The sequence below is a fragment of the Homo sapiens genome, chromosome 10 (genome assembly GCF_000001405.40).
Source record: "Homo sapiens chromosome 10, GRCh38.p14 Primary Assembly".
Taxonomy (NCBI): domain Eukaryota; kingdom Metazoa; phylum Chordata; class Mammalia; order Primates; family Hominidae; genus Homo; species Homo sapiens.
In genome coordinates, this window is record NC_000010.11 from 22039618 (window position 1) to 22061366 (window position 21749).

The following is a 21749-nucleotide window of genomic DNA, read 5'->3' on the forward strand; positions in this document are numbered from 1 at the left end:
AAGTAACTAATGAAATACTGACTATTAAGAAGGATGTCCTACTTTATACAAATACATTTAATTTCCCAACTATATCATGAGGTAAACATTATTATTCCGATTTTATGGAAAAGAACACGGAGGTTCAGAGACATTAAGTAATTTTTTCAGGTCACCAAAAGAGTAAGTGGTGGGAATCCCAATTCAACTCAGATCTGCCTGATTTTAGAATTCACGTTCATGATCTAACTCCACAGGGTGTGGTTTCTGGCTTCTAAACTTAAGAATGGGCTGGACCAGACGACACAGTCTGGTTCTGGGATGACAATGGGTGAGAATTTTGACTTTGATTAGTCTGGAGCAGCTTTTATTTAGGTTTGCCCCAGTGGCAAGGTGCAGAAGATGTTGAGATAAGTGTTCAGGCGAGCGGATGTAGCAGCTGGCGCCTTCCTTATTTTTTGTGGAGACGTGCTAGAGGCTCCAAGGGCTGGGCAAGCTCTGAAGGAGATATTTGCCTGGTTGGAGGTGCATCAAACTGTGTGCTTGCTGCCTTTATACCACCAGTCATGTTGGCATTCAGCAAGCATAGACAACTTGTTCTACTAATTATGGCAGTAATTCCACCACTGACGAGACCATGTTGATGTTCTGAACCTCAGAATTCTCTGCCAACACTGGGCATTATACCCTCATCTCTCTCAAGGTCTCAGAGGGAAGGAAGTTTCTACATGTGTCCACTTGGACTAGCCTGTCCATAGCCTCCCTTAAGAAGGCAGGACTCAGACTGGACATGGTGGCTCACACCTGTAATCTCAGGACTTTGGGAGGTTGAGGTGGGAGGATTGCTTGAAGCCAGAAGTTTGAGACCAGCTTGGGCGACACAGTGAGACCCTGTCTTACCAGCCCCCGTACCCCTCCCCAATAAACAAATAAATAAAATAAATAAATAAGAAGGCAGGACTCCTAGCCATTTGGCTAAACTGTCACCTCTGTAACTACAGTTCAAAGACTTCATATGCCAAATGGAGTATCTGTATAAATAAGTGATTTAAGTTACTTAGAACAATAATTTTTTGTCAAATTTTATTATGTGAGGATAATTAAAATACATTAATTAAAATTAAAACACATTAATTAAAATATATTAATCAGTCACAATGGCCCAGTGCTAAGAAGATAAATTCACATAAATTTTAAAGTTTTAAAATGTGGGTGTAATAACATATCATCATATGATTTAATGTGCAAGGGAAAAATTGTGAATATATTTAGATTATTCCTTGGTCTAGAACTTCGTCAAAATAAAGTGGAGATCTGAGGCAAGTGAGGACACAAAGAAAGTGAAGATGCCTTAGTACTGTGTTTCATACATAGTTGTAACCTACCTTTAGAGATAGTAAAGCAAAAAATTAGAATGATTTAGATTGTTTAGCTGGGAGAAAATAAAACAGATGGTATTCTGTTCTTAATTTGCAATGTTAAGAAAGGTAGAAGAGCATACATCTTTTTTTTTTTTTTTTTGAGACGGAGTCTCATTCTGTCACCCAGTCTACCAGGCTAGAGTGCAGTGCCGCGATCTCGGCTCACTGCAACTCCTCCCTCCCGGGTTCAAGTGGTTCTTCTGCCTTAGCCTTGGGAGTAGCTGGGACTACAGGCAAGTGCCACCATGCAGGGTTTCACTATGTTAGCCAGGATGGTCTCAATCTCCTGATCTCGTGATCCGCCCACCTTGGCCTCCCAAAGTGCTGGGATTACAGGCATGAGCCGTCGTGCCCAGCCAAGCATACATCTTTTAAATCCACAATCTTTCTTTCCATTCCTCAGCAGAAATTATGCTTAGAACATAGGAAAAGGGACTCAACTGGTAAATAAATGATCAGGCATGATTATTTTTATTCTTAAAATTCTTTCCTTGTTATAAAAGTAACGCACAGCATGTAGAAAGTTAGGAAAATATTGACCAACATGAAAAGAGAATAAAGGTTGCTCAGATGCTACTCAACAAAAGATAATTAACATTTTGGTGTATTTCTTTTTTTTCCTATCTTTTCAATTTTGATTAGGTAATACATTCACATGGTTCAAAAATTCGAAGTTACAAAAAACATACCCAGTCACCTAGGCATGGAGTTCTGCCACCTGGAAACAAGCAATGTATATTTCTCATGTATTTTTCCAAATCATTCCAGAGCTAATGTGTGTATGTAAAAACAGATACATGTAGTTTTCCCTTTTTCTTTTTTTCAGAAACTATAGCATACTATACACACTGTTGTGCAACTTATTATTTTTTACTTAACCATAAATCTTGGAGATTTTTCATATCAATCTACAAAGGACTTTCTCTCTCTCTCTCTCTCTTTTTTTTTTTACTTCTGTGTATCATCCAGTTGTATAGATATATCAGGATTTATCTGAGAAATTTCCTTTTCATGGATATTCATGGTTTTTTCCAGATCTTTTGCAATTACAAACAATACTACAATGAATTACCCTATTCCTGTGCCATTTTTCACCTGTATATCTTTTGGATAAATTCCTACTGTGAAAATACTAGGTCAAAAAAAAGGTTGGCTAGATTCTGCCAAATTGCCCTCCAGAAAGGTTCTAAATTATTTTCAATCCATATTTTCTTTTATAATTTATTATAATAAAAGGTATATGTTTATTATTTTACTTCCAGAGAAAAATTATGAGATCATGGAACTTTTCTCCCACTCACATCTCAATAAATGAATAAGATATAGAAATAGCATGTACACACAGAGAGTTATCAAACTAGAGAGGAGCAAACACTTCTCTAAGAACTTGGAAAACTGTTGCCAGACACAGAGGGTTGTAGGAATTAATAGGCAAATCCTCAGTTGCTTATTCAGAAATAGTGTTCATCATTTCTGTAGTCACCCATTCACCAAAGATTTATTGAATGCTTGCTACGTGCTGGAATACTAGACCTGTGATAGATTTTGCATATGCAAGAGTGAGAGAGAGAAAAAAGCAAGGGGAAGGTGTTGAGACAAAATTCTCCTCTGTGTTAACACCTCCACATTGGGGTTGAGCAGAGCTGATGGTGACAGGGTGTGGATAGGCAGCCCAGAAGGAAAGACACAGAAAGTTGCCCTGGAAATCCGCACCTCACGGCAGGGTGGTGGTGACTCAGCGAAATCCACACACAGTGCCAATCACATCGGTTTGTTTTTCTCTTGCTGGGAGGAAGATAGGAGAAGAATTGAGGTATAATATGAACTATCCCTAAACATTAAAAAGAAAAGTCTTGACAAAATAAAATGGGAAAAAAATCAATTAAAACTGCTGGAAACATACTGGGTGCATAGAAAGTCCCACACGAAACCAGTCTTTCGTTGTCCACACAAATAGTGCCTTAGCCTGAACTAGAAGCCCTACCTTTGTCCTTTCCTTTTCCCCTTACTTAGCGAGGAAAAAAGCTTTGGTTATAAAGAGTGGACAGGAAACACTCCCTTAAGGCTAACAGCTTCTGACAGTAGCCAAAGTTTAGCAACACCTGAATTAGAGGCATAATCAGGAAATAGAGGCTTTCCCTTCCCCTAGCACCCCTTCCTCAAGTATCAGAACAGACAGAAGTACACCCGATCTAGAGGAATAAACTCTAGTGCAGGCAGAACACAGACCCCAGAACTATCCCAAGCCCAGCCACAAGTGAGATAAGACTATCAATCTCTCTGTTAAACAAGACATCTAGTAGAATTACACGCATTTATTCTTTTTATCATGCAGGTGAGGGTAGAAAAAAAATGCTAGCAATGTTCTGCTGCTTTGACAGAACAATCTTACGAGTATTCATAACATATAGGAACACAGAAACGTCAATCATGACATGAAGACAGCATCAGGCTACTGAGTAAGACGACTCATCAGAATCACAGGGCTCTTTGGAGATTACTTTTAAGGAAATGGCAAGGATTTCTAGAGCCTTTGTTCATATTTTCCTTCCAAGGATAAATTTATAAGGCTAAAGAACAGAACTAGCGAGTATAGTTATAAATATTCACACGTCTCAATGCCACATCGAATCAGATTCTTTGGACTTGTTTTATGACACAAAGACGGTCAGTCTTCTGTAGCTGCAGAGGAGAAAGCACATTTCCTTCCTCTGTCTCTTAGATTCTTTTTGTGAATTATGAAGATTTGCTTTTTTAAGAGCCAACTCTGGAATTTTACTTGTAATTTAAAGCAAAAAATCAGGCCTGTGGAGCTCAATATTATTTAGGGAAATGGAGAAAAAGATGAGCATGATTTTACTAAGTAACATAATAAGCTGAAACTTATTATGAAGGGAAGATGCCAACTTGCGCCTTGATAAGGAAGGAAGGGGAGAATTCACCTGTAGTATAATTGGAAAATTAGAGGGCCCAGATAACCAAATTGCTTTTAGAATAAAGAGCCTCGAAGATAAACTCTGTTACTCAAGATAAACAGGAATAATTTATAATAATGAAAGGTTCATTTCAACTGGTAGCTTTGGTAATTTTAAATTTGTATGCACTTAATAACTTAGCCTTAACAATTGACAGATGAAGAGAAATAGACAAATCCACACTCATAATGTGGCATTTAATATAGCCACTCAGTAATTGATAGAGCAAATGGGAAAATAATTCCTAAAAATATGTATAATTTAAGCATCATGATTAATAAACTTGATCTAATAAACATATATTGAATACTGCATGTAATAAGCACATTCACAGAAACTGACCATTTACTGGATTGTAAAGCAGGTGTCAACAAATGTCACAGAAATGAAATAATCATAAGCATATTTCTTAACAAAATACAAGTTAAACATCAGTACCAAAAAAAGACATCAAGAAAACCTTCATATGTTTGGAAATTAATTAAATACACATCTAAGTATCTCAAGGGTTAAATAAGAAATTACAGTGGTATTAAAAAAATAGTTTGAACTGAGCAATAATGAAAATACTACCTAACAAAACTTATGAGATTTAGCTAAAGCAACATTTAAAGGAAAAGTATATTACAGGCATATATTAGAAAAAAGCTAAAAATTAATTATTAAAAATTAATAATTCAAGAAAATAGAAAAAGAATAGCAAAACAAACAAACAAACAAAAACAAAACCCCAAAGCAACAAAGAAGGTGGAAGGAAGGACATGATAGAAATAAGAACAGAAACTAATTAAATAGTTTCCATACACTATGGAGACAATAAAGCCAGAGTGATTCTCTAAAACACCTAATAAAATTAACGAACTTCTCGTGAGACCAAAAAAAAAAAAAAAAAGAGTGATAGCACAAACACACAAATAAATAATATCAAAAAAGAAAAAGAGAACGTTACTAAAAAAGTCAGAAATATTAAAAAAAAAGTCATTTGAACAATTTTATGCCAGTAAGTTTGAAAATGCAGATGAAATGAACATATTCTAGCAAAGCACAATTTACACAAACTATTGAAATAGAAAAACAGAATGGTGCTAAAATCAGAATGGCCTTTCAATACATTTGAAGTATTGAATTAAGGAAAATTTCAGGCTTCGATAGCTTCACATTGAATTCTGGCAGTCAAGGAACAAATAATTCTGATCTATTCTCATATTATACACAAACTCTGAGAGTAAAAAAAAGATAATGCTGCTAGTCTCATTTTATAAGGTTAGCATAAAGTTGATAGCAAGAGAGAAAAATTATAGGTCAATGTCACTCAAGAATATAGATAAAAAATTGTAAAAAAAATCAGCAAACTGAATCTAGCAATACATAAAAAGTATAAAGCAATATGACTGTGGTAGCCAGTCTCTAAAATAGGCCCCAGTGTTCACCACCTCTGGGTCATCCCCTCCCACATTCTATTAGGTACGTGACCAACAGAATACAGTAGACATGATGGTATGTCACTTCTGAGATTTGGTTATTAAAGACATGGTGGCTTCTATCTTTATTAATTTCTCTCTCAGATCATTCACTCTGGGGGAAACCAATTGCCATGTCATAAGCAGCCCTGTTGAGAGGACCACATGATGAGGTGTAAGCCTCCTGCCAACTGCCATGTTGATGAGCTTGGAACTGCAGCAATGGCTGACATCTTGACTTGAAACCTTACGTGAGACCTTCTGGATTCCTGACCCACAGAAGCTGCATGAGATAATAAATACTTGTTATTTAAGCTGTTGCATTTTGGAGTAACTTGTTTTGGAGCAATAGATAACTAATATATACAATAACTAACTTGTATTTGTTCCAGGAATGAAAACCTGGTTTGACATGAGAAAAATCAACTAATGAATTCCGCCACATTAAAGGAAAAATTTATATGGTCATCTCAGCAAACATACAAAAGTGTTTGATGAAATTCAGCATGCATTGGTAATTTATTTAAAAATTTTGCAAACAAGAATGAAAGAAAATGCCCTTAAAAGCAATGAAAATGAACAAACTAAAGCCTCATGCAACAATCATAAATGAAAAGAAATCAAAAGTAGGTGAAAATAAACTATGTTGTTTACAGATTCATACATAGGTGGCAAACCATAAAGACAAGCAAGGAATTGGCCATCACGTGCGTCAGGATAGTGATGCACATGGAAGTAGGAGGCAGGTGTTATGGCTCACAGGCAGCTTCTAAACTTAAGACACTGTTCTGAATCTTGACCCGACCAGTAATTACACAGGTGCTTGTTTTCCTTTTTTTTTTTTTCCTGAGACAGGCTCTCCCTCTGTCACCCAGATTGGAGTGCCGTGGTGTGATCATGGCTCACTGCAGCCTTGACGTCCTAGGCTCAAGTGATCCTCCCACCTCAGCCCTTCAGCCTTCCAAATAGCCAGGCCACAGGCACACGCCACTGTGCCTACCTATTTTATTTTATTTTATGTTTTAATAGAGATAGAGTCTCACTATATTGCCTAGCCTCATCTGAAACACTTAGGTTCAGGCAATCTATCTGCATCAGCCTCCCAAAATGATGAGATTACAGGGGTGAGCCACCACATCTGGCTCAGGTATTTGTTTTCTAATTATTATTTAAATCATACATATAGGAGCTATGCACTTTTTTCTAAGGGTATTATCTTTCAACAGTAAAAAAAAAGTTAATGATGCAGAAAAATAACACTTATTAATGTACCATATTAACAGATTAAAGGTGAAAAACCCATATTATCTCAATAGACACAGGAAAAGCATTTGATAAAATAAAAGCTATTATTTTAAATTTAAAAAGACAGTAAATTAGTACAGAAGAAAGAAACATTCTTAACCTACTAAAAGGTATATAGCAAAAAATCTACAGCATACATCATATTTAATGATAAGACATAGGAAAAATTCCCTTTAAAATTAAGTATGAGGTAAGAATAGCTTCAATTATTGCTTCTCTTTCATCTTGGGTGACAGGAATAACCTTTGTGGTAAGACAAGAAAAATAAATAAAATGTATAAAGATTGGAAAGAATGTAAAACAAAACAAACAAACAAATCCTGACATTATTCATAGATGTCTACAAAGAAAATCCAAGAAATATCAACAGGCAAATTATTAGACTTAAAAAGTGAGTTCAATAAGGTTATTCTATTTAAGTCAATTATTTTTTAAAAAAAAAATCAGTGATATTTTTATATACCGGCAACAAATGGAATCTTTGAACGAAATACAAAAAATATACTTATTAATAAATATTAAAAACAGATGTGTAAGAATGTTATGGCCTAAATAAATTTGGGAATAGGAAAACTCAGTAATAATGTCAATTATCTCTCAATTAATAAAATACAATAAAGTTATAATAAAAAAGACACATCTTTTAGTAGACTCGAAAAGGAGATTATAAAATTTGTATGAGAGAAGAGAAAAGGGCCCCAAATAACCAGAAGAAAACGGGAGCGACTAGAGATCTTGTTGTACCATATATCAAGACTCATTTTAAAACTGCATCAATTAAGACACTCTTCCTACACTGGACTGATTTTGACAGAGGTAGCATTGCAGACCAGTGAGCCGAGAATGGACTGTTTAATGAGTGGTGATGAAACACTTGATTTTTTCCAATTGTACAAATGTAATATTGAATTCTTATCTTCCATACATATAGTAATACAAAAATTATTTCCAGGGGGATTGTATTAGTTAGGGATCTCCAGAGAAATAGAACCGATAGTGCATACACACCACACACACACACATACATATCTGGTGGGAGAGAGAGATGATAAGGCATTGGCTCACACAATTATAGAGGCTAAGTCTGAAATCTACAAGATGGGGTGATGATGTGGGAGACCCCAGGGAAAGCCAACGTTTCTATTTGAGGGCTGTCAAGCAGGAAGAGCCAATGATGCAGTTGGAGTCTGAAGACCATCAGCTGAAGAATTTTTTCTTTCTTGGGGGAGGATTGGTCTTTGTTCTATCCAGACCTTCAACTGATTAGATGAGGCCCACCCTCATTGGAAAGGCAATCTGCTTTACTCAAAGTTCATGGATTTAAATGTTAATATCCTCCAAAAACACCCTCACAGAAACACCCACAAAAATGTTTGGCCAACTATTTGGGCACTCCATGGCCCAGTCAAATTGACACATAAAATTAACCATCACAGAGGTTACATGGAATCTAACATATAGGAGGATACCTTTATGACCCTTAGGTAGAGAGAGTTTTCGTATTTTTTTGAGACAGAGTTTCACTCTTGTTACCCAGGCTGGAGTGCAATGGCGCAATCTCGGCTCACTGCAACCTCCGCCTCCAGGTTCAAGTGATTCTCCGGCCTCAGCCTCCTGAGTAGCTGGGATTACAGGCATGTGCCACCATGCCCGGCTAATTTTGCACTTTTAGTAGAAACGAGATTTCTCCATGTTGGTCAGGCTGGTCTCGAACTCCTGACCTCAGGTGATCCACCCGCCTCAGCCTCCCAAAGTATTGGGATTATAGGCATGAGCCACTGCGCCCGGCCTAGACAGAGGTTTTTAAAAGAAAATACAAAAAATACAAACCATGAAGGAAACGTGATAAATTTGACTACATAAAAATGTAAAAAATTTAAATTCCAGTATTTAAAAAAGAGTGAAAAGACAAGCCACAGAAACATCCCAAACTCAACGTTAGCATCTGCTTCTAGAGAGCTCATCCTATAACATGACCTCTTTATATAAAGTTTCATGCAAAACAATATACTGTATTGTTTATAGAATATAATTCAGAATAGTGGTGGTGTGTTGGGTAGGAGATACATTTTGGGAGGAGTTGTCTAGGACTTCAAAAGCATTTGTAATACTTTATTCCTTAAGCCAATGGTAGGTGTGGGTATGTATTATGTCAGGGCTCCCCAACCCCAGGGCCATGGGCCAGTCCAGTCCATGGTCTGTTAGGAAGAGGGCCACACAGCAGGAGGTGAGTGGCAGGTGAATGGGGAGCCAGCGAGCATTACTGCATTTTCTCTGCCTCCTGTTGGATCAGTGGTGGGATTAGATTCTTATAGCAGTGGGAACCCTATGGTGAACTACACATGTGAGGGATCTAGGTTGTGCGCTCCTTATGAGAATCTAACTGATTCCTGATGATCTGAGGTGGAACAGTTTCATCCTGAAACCATCCTCCCAGCCCCTACCCAAAAACTGGTCCCTGGTACCAAAAAGGTTTGGGACTGCTGTAACTATATCATTATTTGAATCTTTGGTATTTAAAGAATGAGTAATAAATAAATAAGTAGCAGAAATGAAACTGTCAATCAAAGGAAAAGTAAAAGCCATTATTTTGTATTTGAACACATGAATATGAGATTTATAAATAAAACATCAATATCTATAAGCTGAATTTAAAGGCCTGAACAAACTAAATATTAATTAAATTGCATGTAACTGTATTTCATTCTGGCCCACAGCCCTTTTAGACATTAAAAACCCACTGGAAAGAATTACTCTTCCATACAAACGAAATATGCTTCTATTGCCTCTAAAGGACAAGACCTATGGATGTACTCATTGCACAGCCATTAAGATTAGCTGAATTAAGAATTAATTTCAAAAAAGAAGTATTTATATTTGAAGTTAGATGTGCGTATACATTTTATCAGTCAACAAATATTAAATGCCTACTCTATGCCAGGCACTATTTTCAGATGATACAGATAAGCTGTAAGCAAGAAACACAAAGTGCTCTTGAATCATTAGCATGATTTGTTTTAAGAGTACTGACTTACATCATCAAAGTATCCAATTGCTAATGTCTGACTCAGGCAAAATATTTCTATTTCAATAAGTCAAGCTATTAGTGGCCATATAGTACACTGCGCAAGGGGGAAATCTCCTCAAAGATTGCATAGAAAATTAAGGAGTTAATTCCATTTCTGTTCCGTGTTGCAATGGAATTTTGTATTCCAGACTTTTCACACATGTCTCTTTCCCTGAAGGCACCAAGGATTACAAATTTAGAATCAAATATTTCTGACCATAAAAGTTAACTATCCAAATCTTTAACCACATTTAAACTTGCACATGGTCCGGGCAAGGAAAAATTCACAAATGCCAATATTTATTGAGGTAAAAATGTAAATTATGAGAAACCACCTAGGCACCTTAAAATAGAACACAGGACTCCATGTTTTATTAAATTTGTGCTATTTCTCCTACTATAGTTACCATCAGAAACACGTTCCATTTTAAGGGTTTTTTTTTGCAGTATTTTTTTTATTTTTAAAAAAGCTGTAAAACTCAAAGCTAAAATTTGGAGTCACTTTAAATTTGAGTCATGAACCAATAAATTTTACAACTTTGGAGTGTTGAAATGGTGTCATAGGAGTTTGAGGTTGACACACATAGTTGGATCATTTAATAGTCATGGATGGCATGAAAAACTATATATTTTAGTAAAAGAACTCTTTGAATGTTTTGACAAACAAACACCAAAACTGGGTTTTGTAATTTTTCTCTTAATTGTTAAAATAGTTGGATTTGTGGCATAATAATTTTGCATATGTATATTTCAATTCATATACTAAATGTACTTATATTTACTTTTTGCTATTTTCATGTTATTTATACAACATATACTTACTGAGTGCCAATTATGTGCCAGATACTCTTCTAGGCTTTAGTGTGAGCAAAAGCAGGTGTGATACCTATTTTTATTTAACTTTTAGTTCAGTAGGGGAGAGAGACATTAGTTAATCAAATAATTACCAGGTGGGTGTGGTGGCTCACGCCTGTAATCTCAGCTCTTTGGGAGGGCAAGGTGGGAGGATCACTTGAGGCTAGCAGTTCAAAAACTAGCCTGGTCAACATAGCAAGGCTCCATTTCTACAAAAAATGTTTAAAAAATAGCCAGGCATAGTGGTGCACGCTTGTAGTCCTGGCTACTTGGGAGGCTGAGGTGGGAGGATTGCTTGAGGCCAGGAGGCCAGGAATTTGAAGTTACAGTGAGCTATTATCATGCCGCTATACTCCAACCTGGGTAACAAAGTGAGATCCTGTCTTGCTAAAAAAAAAAATTATGAAACCAAGAAAGCAGTTTAACTGACAAGAGCTAAAAAGGAGATCATGCAGTACTAACTTAGAAGGGGCATTTGATCTAGTCAAGGAAGGATGGAGGGGTAGGCTTCTTGGAGGAAATGGCCTTGGGTTGAGATCTGAGGATCTTGGAGTTAATTCCGTTAAGAAAGGAGGGCCTGTAATCCCAGCACTTTGAGAGACTGAGGCGGGTGGATCACCTGAGGTCAGGAGTTTGAGGCCAGCCTGGCCAAAATGGTAAATCCTTGTCTCTACCAAAAATACAAAAAAAATAAAATAAATTAAAAAAAAAAATTAGCCCGGCATGGTGGCTTGTGCCTGTAATCCCAGCTGCTTGGGAAGCTGAGGCAGGAGAATCGTTTGAACCTGGGAGGCAGAGGTTGCAGTGAGCCAAGATCGTGCCACTGCACTCCAGCCTGGGTGACAGAGCTAGGCTCTGTCAAAAAAAAAAAAAGAGAGAGAGAGAGGAGGGAAGAAGATAGATTCTGGGCAGAGGGTCCTAAATGCATGTTTAGGCCCAACGACTGGAACCATGTGAGGTTCTGAAAAATACACACTGAGCAGGAGCTTCTGCAAGCTGAGACAGGGACAGCAGGTAAGGGTCAGATCATAGGGTCACTGTAAGCCACCATCAAGAAAGAGTATGTCTTTATCTTCATGTGTGTGCATTTGAGAACCCCTGCTTCTGTCTGCAATGTGGAGAAAAGATGGGACAGAGACCAGTGTGGGAGAAAAGAAGACCAATTTGGAGACTGTGCCAATAATCTCTGAGTGAGGCCTGATGGTAGAGGTGATGTTAGTAGCAGAGACAAAGACACTTCAAAATTGGAATTGGCAGGGCTTTGTGATGGATTGATAATAAGAAAGCTGGATTGGATTGGTGGGCAAAGATGTTAACAATGAAATATAATTAAATACACAATTAAAGCTAACAGTAAAATTGTATTAAGTCTAATTAGGACACATACATCTTCATGGTAGAAGGCTCAATAACTGTATTAGATGACATTACTTCAGTAAAAATGACTTAGGTCTTATAGTATAGTTTGAATTCACATCTGTTATATTAAAGAAAATTTACCTTTAACACATTGACTTCCTTTATCCCTCTTCTCTAAATGCTTTTCATTTTAACTGAAAATCAATATCATTATATTCAATTTTTTGTCAGTGATAGATTTTGAAAATATCATGAACTTTAGGATTATATTTTTTCCATTTAACTGCCTGTGAATTTTTACCTTTTAAAATAAAAACTCTTGGTTTTATAAACTCCTACTATAATCCAAATTTTACTAAATTAAATTGAAAACCCACCAAATGAAGGCAATGGTATTCACTTTGACTTAAATTTATACCCACATACATAAAACTGTAGAAACTTCACAACTGGGCTTACTTTTTAAACCAAAGGAAATTCCCAATATATTTGCAATAGCTCCTGTGTCATTCACGAATCTAGGCTTTAACATAATATAATCTGGTCACCCTTTCCTGTTTGGGACTGAGTCAACTTTAATGGAAATTACACATGCACTAGGGGAGACGAAGCTAATTTAATGTGAAAGAAGCAATTGCAATGCCAGGGCCTCACAGATTCTACTCTCCATTCATTTTCATTAAGATTGCGAGGCAGATCAGGCTTTCCTTCTCCCTTCATTCCCTTTCTCTCCCCAGCCTCCATTCCGGGAGGGGTCTTTTTTTTTATCAGGGAAGAAAAGCAGAGCATAAGGACACTATGCATGTGTGCTATGAAGGTGATCAATGTCCACAAGAGAAGATATTACTGAGCAATCAATGGGCTCACTGTCTGATGCACATAGAGGCCAATACCATGGCATCAGCTTTTGAGAAAAGAAAAGCTTTATTGTGAGTCAACTGGCAAGGAGGCCGGAAGAAACACTCTAATCTGTCTCCCCAAGCTGGAGTTTGGGTTGGATTTTATAAGCATAGGGTAATGAGGTGTGATCTGATTGGCTCTTGCAATGAGGCGATGCCAGGAGGTGTGGTCTGACTGGATCCTGCTATGGGGTGACGCTAAAGCTTGTTCTGATTGGATCCCAGGTTCTGCCATGCGGTGTCCCCTTCTTTATTCAGTTCCTTGGTACAAGTACTTAGGTTCCCTCTGCGATTGCATGCTTGGTTTAACTGGGCATGCTCAAGTTATGTGACCTTCAACCTGGGAGACCATGGCAACTAAAAAACAACTCACAACTTTGTTACATAAAAGTTGACCCAGATTGGTCTGGTGTGGTTACAAAGAGAGGAGCATTATAGTAGTGTAGGTTTTTCCTTCTCCAAGGGACTTAAGATCCTCTCCCAAAGGACAGACGCTGCCCCTCTAGCCTTCTCGAGGAGAAAACCAAAATAATCAATTGACTGGAATTGGAAGATGGAGAGAGGAAGAGATAGGGGTAAGAATGCTGAGAGAAAAAAAGACAGAAAGATGAGATTAACGAACACCTCTCTGATGCGTCCTTTAAGTACTGGGAGGGAACTTGAGGCCAAAACAAACAAACTAACTAACAAAAAACACCACCACAAAAACCCGAACATCTGTTCTGTGACTTAATTTGGTCTTTGTATATTTGTGATCTGCTTATTTAATAAGACTTTTCTGTCTGGTAAGAAATCGTGCCTTCACACCCTTGCAGATATAGGCTTAAGCAAGAGTTTATATTTACTACAGTATTAATGCTGTCAATTGTATCTTTACTTTTCCAAAGACTTAGATTTAAAATAAAATACCCCCTTTTATGGAACCTAGTTTGATAGATTTTTCTATTTTGACACCTTGTTTTATAATACTCTTCTGTTATTATTTTTACTACCAGAGTCATCCTAAAGATTCAGTTCCCTTGGGGTACTGCAATATGTGGTTTGTTCTTGAATCAAATATAGTATTTCTTCCAGTCTATACTAAGTAATTCAAAGCCTAGCATCCCGGATAGTTCCTGCTGTAAAATAAATAATGCCACAGTTATTGGATGAAAGCCAGCTATACAAGTGAACTAGACAGACGGTAAAACTCTAGGTACCTGACATACTTGTAAATGTCTTGGGATAAAGTGGCCCTAGCTGTTGGTTATGCACAAGTTGCCATGCTTTGGGCCATCTGGTCCTGTTGCTTTGGCCACAATCAATTAGACTCTGGAAATTTTCAAAACACCAGTCATTAAGGGCTCTTCATACTAAAATGGGATTACCCAGCCCAGTCAGGTTCTTCCTCACTGAGAACTTGGGTTCAAGATACCCAGAGAGTAGAAGTGAAGAGGAAGCGATGGAGAGAAGCTGTGTCATGAATGTAGTGGAGTCACCAGAATAGGGAGCAGTGGAAGTCTACTTGGAGCCACGTCTCCAGATGTATTGAACACCAGAAATAACCACTGTGATGGTAAGTCCATCATGTCTTGACCAATGCTCCCCAATCTCCAGTGAGGCTGGACTATGCTGACACATCTCTGGGTCTTTCTGATTTTCTCTATTGTCTTAGTTCCTGCTGCTGTAACAAAATACCACAGGCTGGATAATTTATAAATAATGGAAATGTGTTACTTATCGTCCCAGAGGCTAGAAAGTCCAAGAGCAAGTGAGCTGGCAGATTTGGGGTCTGATGAGGGCCTAGTCCTCACACTTACCTAATCTTTCACCCAGTGTTTTTTTTCCTTTTTTAATTGACAAATAAAAATTGTACATATTTGTGTTATCAGAACATGATGTTCTAATATATGTATACATTGTAGAATTTGGCTAAATCAAGCTAATTAACGTATGCATTACACATATACATTTTTCTAGTTAGAAGACTTATGATCTACTCTAAGCATTTTCAAGTATGCAATACATTGTTATTAGTATAGTCACCATGTTGCATACTAGATCTCTTGAACTTACTCCTTCTATCTATCTTTAATTTTCTTCCTGTTGACCTACTTCTCCCCATCTCTCAGCCTCTCCCCTCCTCAGCCTCTGGTAACCACCATCTCACTCTCTGCTTCTGTGAGTCTGACTTTTTAAAATTCCACACAAGTGAGATCATGTGGTATTTGACCTTCGAGACTGCCTTATTTCACTTAACATATGTCCCCCAGGTTCATCCATGTGTTGCAAATGACAGGATTTCCTTCTTTTTTTTTAAGACTGAATAGTATCCATTGTGCTCTTGTCCTGCAATGTTCTTTCTGCTCAATCCCACTTAGCTGAACCCACTGTAGTGGCTCCACCATAATAGTGGGTGGGATCTTGGAGGCATGACTGCATAGTTTTCTTCAGGAACAGGAAATTGCTCTTTCGAATAGTGCTTTGCCTGGTGTAGTCCAGCATGCAGAATGGCTTGCCTTCCTTTTCAGCACGGTCCACATGCTTGCTGGAAGAAGTTACATAAAGAGAATTGTGCAGTGGAAGAAAGCTATCCAAGAGTTGCAAATAGTTTCATTAAATTGAAAACCACAAGCAATCGAGAGAACTTTATTGTGTAGATTTTTTTAATTCCATAAATGCAGATTAAAGTTATATACTCATCTTGTAAGCAAACTAAATAGGAGAGTACAATTTGTAGTTGAAACATTATGTCAGCCCTCTTCATTTTTGTGAAGAAAACCTCCATGTGCCTTTGAGCAACACAACCTATATAAGATGAATTTCTACTACCCCTAAGCAGTTATCTTAAATATTGTCCTAATTTACAAAATAAGCTTTTTGTTCATGACTTTAAAAGTTAAAATGTAACACTGATTTATATTTTTCAGAAATATAGCAATATTTCTAAATAAGAGTGTAGAAAAGCAAAGTGAAGCACACAATTCTGAAATAATACAATCCTCTTTATGAAGGTGATAAAATTGCATACTATGTTACTTTAATATCAAAACGTGAAATTTATGTTGAAAGCTCATATAAAATAGATATCAATATAGAAAATTATATCAATTAGTGGCATTTCCTTTCTGTCATATCCAAATGTATTTATTTCATTAACTGGAAATCTGTTCTTTTTAAAAATATTTGATCTTAAAAACAATTCATGCAAATTACATTTTTTTCTAATCACATCTCATTATAACTTTGGTGTCTAGAGTTTCACTACTACATACTGTAAGAAACTGTTGTATCATGATCTACAGACCTGAAGTTATTCTTCTACAGAAGCTTCTGTTGGCTAGGATGTGAGTTCTCTGAGGACAGTGACTCTGGCTCATTCATTCTTTTCTCACCAGAATGTAGGTAGACTGGAGTTCTTTAACAGCAGTGACTATTTCTTCTTCACTTGGCATCTATGTTGCTTAGAACATAGTAAGTGCTTAATTAGTGTTTAATAATGAAATGAATCAAGTGCTTCATTATTAGTGTTTAATAATGAAACGAATCAATGATCATGTTGCTTAGAACATAAGTGCTTAATTAGTGTTTAATAATGAAACGAATCAATGATCAACTTTGCTAAATGCTGGATATGCAGAGTACAGACACCTTTGCTGCCTTCAGGGAACTTGGAGTCAGTGGGAGAGACAACCATGAAATAAGTGAAATTCTGGCAATAGGACCAGAGTGCTATGGGAACAGTTAAGAAGTAGTGATCATTTCTGCCTGGCAAGGTAAAAAGATTGACATTGAAGATAGCCCTTTATGATGAATCACATTTTTCCAAATTAAAAACAACGTACAAGGGCCAGGGGTGGTGGCTGGCGCCTTTAATCCCAGCAATTTGGGAGGTCAAGGTGGGCGGATCACCTGAGGTCAGGAGTTCAAGACCAGCCTGGCCAACATGGGGAAATCTCATCTCCACAAAAATACAAAAATTAGCCAGGCATGATGGCGGGTGCCTGTAATCCCAGCTACTCGGGAGGCTGAGGTGGGAGAATTGCTTGAACCCAGGAGGCAGATGTTGCAGTGAGCCGAGATTGCACCATTGCACTCCAGCTTTGGCAACAGAGTGAGACTCCATCTCAAAAAAAAATGAATAAAAATAAAAATAAAAATAAAAATAAAAAGCAAGGGACAAGAAGATATTTCAGAGAGTGGATATGGAAAAAGACACAACTGTTATGAGCACAGCATGATCTCAGTATGGTGTGTACATAATGATAGGGCTCCCAGGAAAGGGAATTGAAAAGTAAGAGAATTAGCACTTGTAAACATTATTATGTGTTAGGTATTAGATACTCTGTATTATTAACTCTCCAGCAAGATGTTGTGGGGCAGTAATGAGGCACCTTATCTTAATGAATAAGATAGTTATTAGGCATAGATGTCATGGTGCTAGAGGATGAGTCTTTTTGGCAAAGGGCTTTGAAGGTCATCCAGTTAGGGTTACATAATCAGACCGGTGTAATTCACTAGTCACGTGACATACTTACCCTTTTTAGTGACAAATGTTACCATTCTCCTCCCATAAATTGGGTTACCCATCTCTCTTTTTTTTTTTTTTGAGATGGAGTCTCACTCTATTGCCCAGGCTGGAGTGCAGTGGCGCCATCTCGGCTCACTGCAAGCTCCACCTCCTGGGTTCACGCCATTCTCCTGCCTCAGCCTCCCGAGTAGCTGGGACTACAGGTGCCCGCCACCATGCCCGGCTAATTTTTTGTATTTTTAGTAGAGACGGGGTTTCACCATGTTAGCCAGGATGGACTCAATCTCCTGACCTGGTGATCCACCCACCTCGGCCTCCCAAAGTGCTGAGGTGACAGGCGTGAGCCACCGCGCCTGGCCAAGTTACCCGTAGCTCACATATAGAAACATGTTTTTATGTTATTTCATTTCACTTCCTTCCTTTTCATCTTTGACCATATTATCTATATTCCCTTGTATACCAGACTTTTAGACACCATATAGATTGAAGTTATTTTTTAATTTCCCTGTTTCAGCTTCTTCTTAGTTTTTTAGCTTGTCATTTTTGAGCTTCCTCCATTTTATTTGGGACACCATTTTATTTATGTCTGGATTTAACGAGTCCAAATGCTCTTTCTTTTCAACGATTTTCTTTCATCATTACATAAATCTAGCTCAAAGTCTTCACATTTCATATTTCTCTTTAAAGTGCAGCTTTGTTTCTATTTCTCTGTTGTTTCTTTGTCTCTACATCCAAACACCACATTGTGTCATCTATCACAGAATTTATTTTATGGCTTTTAATCATAGGCTTTACTTATGTCTGACTGTGTCTGTGAACCGTGTAGCATTCTTTCATAATAAGAAACTTCTCTGCCTTACTGTTTTTTCTTTCTTTCATTTTTTTAAGGCATGTTGTTACTCCAAGCTGAAGAACTGCTTATCTGTATAAGGAATCTGACTTTATTACTCATTTCTTCTGTTTACTTACTGAGTTATTATCTAATCTTAAGAACAAACTGATTCTAATGGACTCACACTGCTGTTTGCATCCTCGTAGGTGGCCAGTAAGAGGATGTGAGATCAAATTTTTCATAAAATTATCAAATGAATAGACAAAATGACATAAAACATCTGGACTTTTGGGTAAGCATTTGGTAGCATATGCATTAGAGAAATGGAAATGCATGCCTTTGGTTATTGATACCATGAAATGAATCTTGGGACTATAAACAATGTACAGTTTAAAATGAAGTAGCATGTGGATGAACGAACTTGGTTTAGATTAGCAGACCTGGCAGAGTTTAAGGTCAAACTCAGTTTTGTTTAACATCTTCATAAATAATCGAGAAGACATATTTTAAAAAACCCTATAATTACATATTTAAGTGACTTCAAGCTGGGCGGTGTTAAACATGATACGAGGAAAAGGATTAGAAGAGGTGAATAGATAAAATGATAAACTTTTTTTCATTAATCAGGAAAAGTATAAAATGATAGTTTAGCATGAGAACAAATTTATGGCAAGTTACTAAAAGGAGAAAAAAACATGAGTAAAGGAAGAACAATGTTGAAAGGAGGCCATAGAAAGCAATTTGAATGCGGTATGTAAGCTAAAATGGCCATTATTTTATATAGTTCTCTTAAAATGACTGTATGATTTCTCTCATGGGAGGCACATAAATTGCTGACCTAAGTACCAATAAGACACAGAATTATTAAGATGTTTATGTCAGTTATAAAATCATATGCACAAATTCATACATTTTTGTACTTAATTTTTATTGATTTTATTGAAAAATCAACAGACAGAAAGACTGAAGTTTTTTAGGGGGCCAACAACTGAATGAATTTGAACACGTTTAGATTCCTGTAACCACCACACTTAGGTGACAGAAGAGTTCCATCTGTAAAACACTTCCTTTCATATCCCTCTTCCTACCCCAAGCCTCTGGCAATCACTTATGTTCTTTGCTCCCATAGTTCTGCCTTTTTGAGATGTTATGTAAATAGAAACATACATTATATAATGTCTCTTTTGTCCTTTGAGGTGCATATTATTTTTTTATTGTTGTTAAAAACACATCACATAAAATTCACCATGGTGACCTTTTTTTAAGTGTACAGTACAATAATATTAACTATATGCACATAGATTGCTAGTGCAACAGATCTCTAGAATTTCAGTGCAATGGATATCTTGAAATTTATCAGCTTGCAACAGTGATACTCTATAGCCACTGAACGACAATTTCCCTTTCCCTGATTCCCACAGCCCCTGGAAACCACCATTCTGTTTTCTAAGAGTTTAATGACTTTAGATATTTCATATAAGTAGAATCATGTAGTATTTAACCTTTTGTGATTGGCTTATTTCACTTAGCATAATGTTCTCAAGGGTCATACAGGACAGAATTTCCTTCCTTTTAAGGTGGAATAATATTCCATTGTATGTATATGTCACATTTTCTTTATTCATCTGTTTGATGGACATTTAGGTTGCTTTCGCCTGTTAGCTATTGTGAATAATACTGCAATGGACATGAAGTGCAAATATCTCTTTGAGGTCTTCTTTTCAATTCTTTTGGATATATTCCCAAAAGTGCAGTTGGTGGATCATATGGTAATTCTATTTTCAATTTTTTGAGGAGCCTTGATACCATTTCCCTAGCAGCTGAAACTATTTTACATTCCCACCAACAAGGCATGACTTCCAAATTCTCCACATCCTCACCAACACTTGTTATTTTCTTTAATACTAAATATCCTAATGAGCGTAAGGTGATATCACACTGTGGTTTGGTTTTTTGTCTTTTGAGACTGGGTCTTACTCTGTCACCCAGGCTGGAGTGCAGTGGCACAGTCATGGCTTGAGCTCCTGGGATCAGGTGATTCCCCCAACTCAGTCTGTTGAGTAGCTGGGACTATAGGCATGCACCACCATGCCTGACTAATTTTTATTTTATTTTATTTTATTTTTCATTTTTTGTAAAGATGGTGTCTCACTATGTTGGCCAGGCTTGTCTTGAACACCTGGGCTCAAGCGATCCTCCTGTCTTGGCTTCCCAAAGTGTTGGAAATACAGGCGTAAGCCACTGTCCCAGTCTCCTGAGTGATTAGTGTCTTAGTCTGTTTTGGGCTGCTACTAAAAATCCCATAGACTGAATATTTGATAAAGAACAGAAATTTATTTCTCACAGCTCTAGTGCCTGGGAAGGCATGAACAGGTGCCTGGTCTCTGCTTCCAAGATGGAGTCTTTAACTATGTCCTCTGGAGGAGAAGAATGCTGTCTCAGGTGCAAGATGGCCGAATAGGAACAGCTCCAGTCTACAGCTCCCAGAGTGAGTGACATGGAAGACAAATGATTTCTGCATTTCCAACTGAGGTACTGGGTTCATCTCACTGGGGATTGTCAGATAGTGGGTGCAGGACAGTGGGTGCAGCACACCGAGCATTAGCCGAAGCAGGGTGAGGCATTGCCACACCCTGGAAGCGCAAGGGGTCAGGGAATTCCCTTTCCTAGCCAAGGAAAGGGGTGACAGATGGCACCTGGAAAATCAGGTCACTCCCACCCTAATACTGCACTTTTCCGACGGTCTTACCAAATGGCACACCAGGAGATTATATCCCATGCCTGTCTCAGAGGGTCCTACACCCATGGAATCTTGCTCACTGCTAGTACAGCAGTCTGAGATCAAACTGCAAGGTGGCAGCAAGGTTGGGGGAGGGGCGCCTGCCATTGCTGAGGCTTGAGTATGTAAACAAAGCAGCCAGGAAGCTCGAACAGGGTGGAGCCCACCGCAGCTCAAGGAGGCCTGCCTGCCTCTGTAGACTCCACCTCTGGGGGCAGGGCATAGCTGAACAAAAGGAAGCAGAGACCTCTGCAGACTTAAGTGTCCCTGTCTGACAGCTTGGAAGACAGCAGTGGTTCTCCCAACAC

The 21749-nt window shown here is 37.7% G+C and overlaps 2 annotated features.

Annotated features, from left to right (window-relative positions):
• Nucleotides 2983-3277: an enhancer, noted in NCBI's record as "tiled region #4688; HepG2 Activating non-DNase unmatched - State 20:ReprD, and K562 Activating DNase matched - State 5:Enh". NCBI's record gives its function as "activates a minimal TATA promoter and a strong SV40 promoter by Sharpr-MPRA in HepG2 cells, with weaker activation in K562 cells {active_cell/tissue: HepG2 | K562}" and the evidence as "EXISTENCE:reporter gene assay evidence [ECO:0000049][PMID:27701403]".
• Nucleotides 11119-11308: a silencer, noted in NCBI's record as "fragment chr10:22339665-22339854 (GRCh37/hg19 assembly coordinates)". NCBI's record gives its function as "represses an EF-1alpha promoter that drives an FKBP-Casp9 reporter gene in an ReSE screen in K562 erythroleukemia cells {active_cell/tissue: K562}" and the evidence as "EXISTENCE:reporter gene assay evidence [ECO:0000049][PMID:32094911]".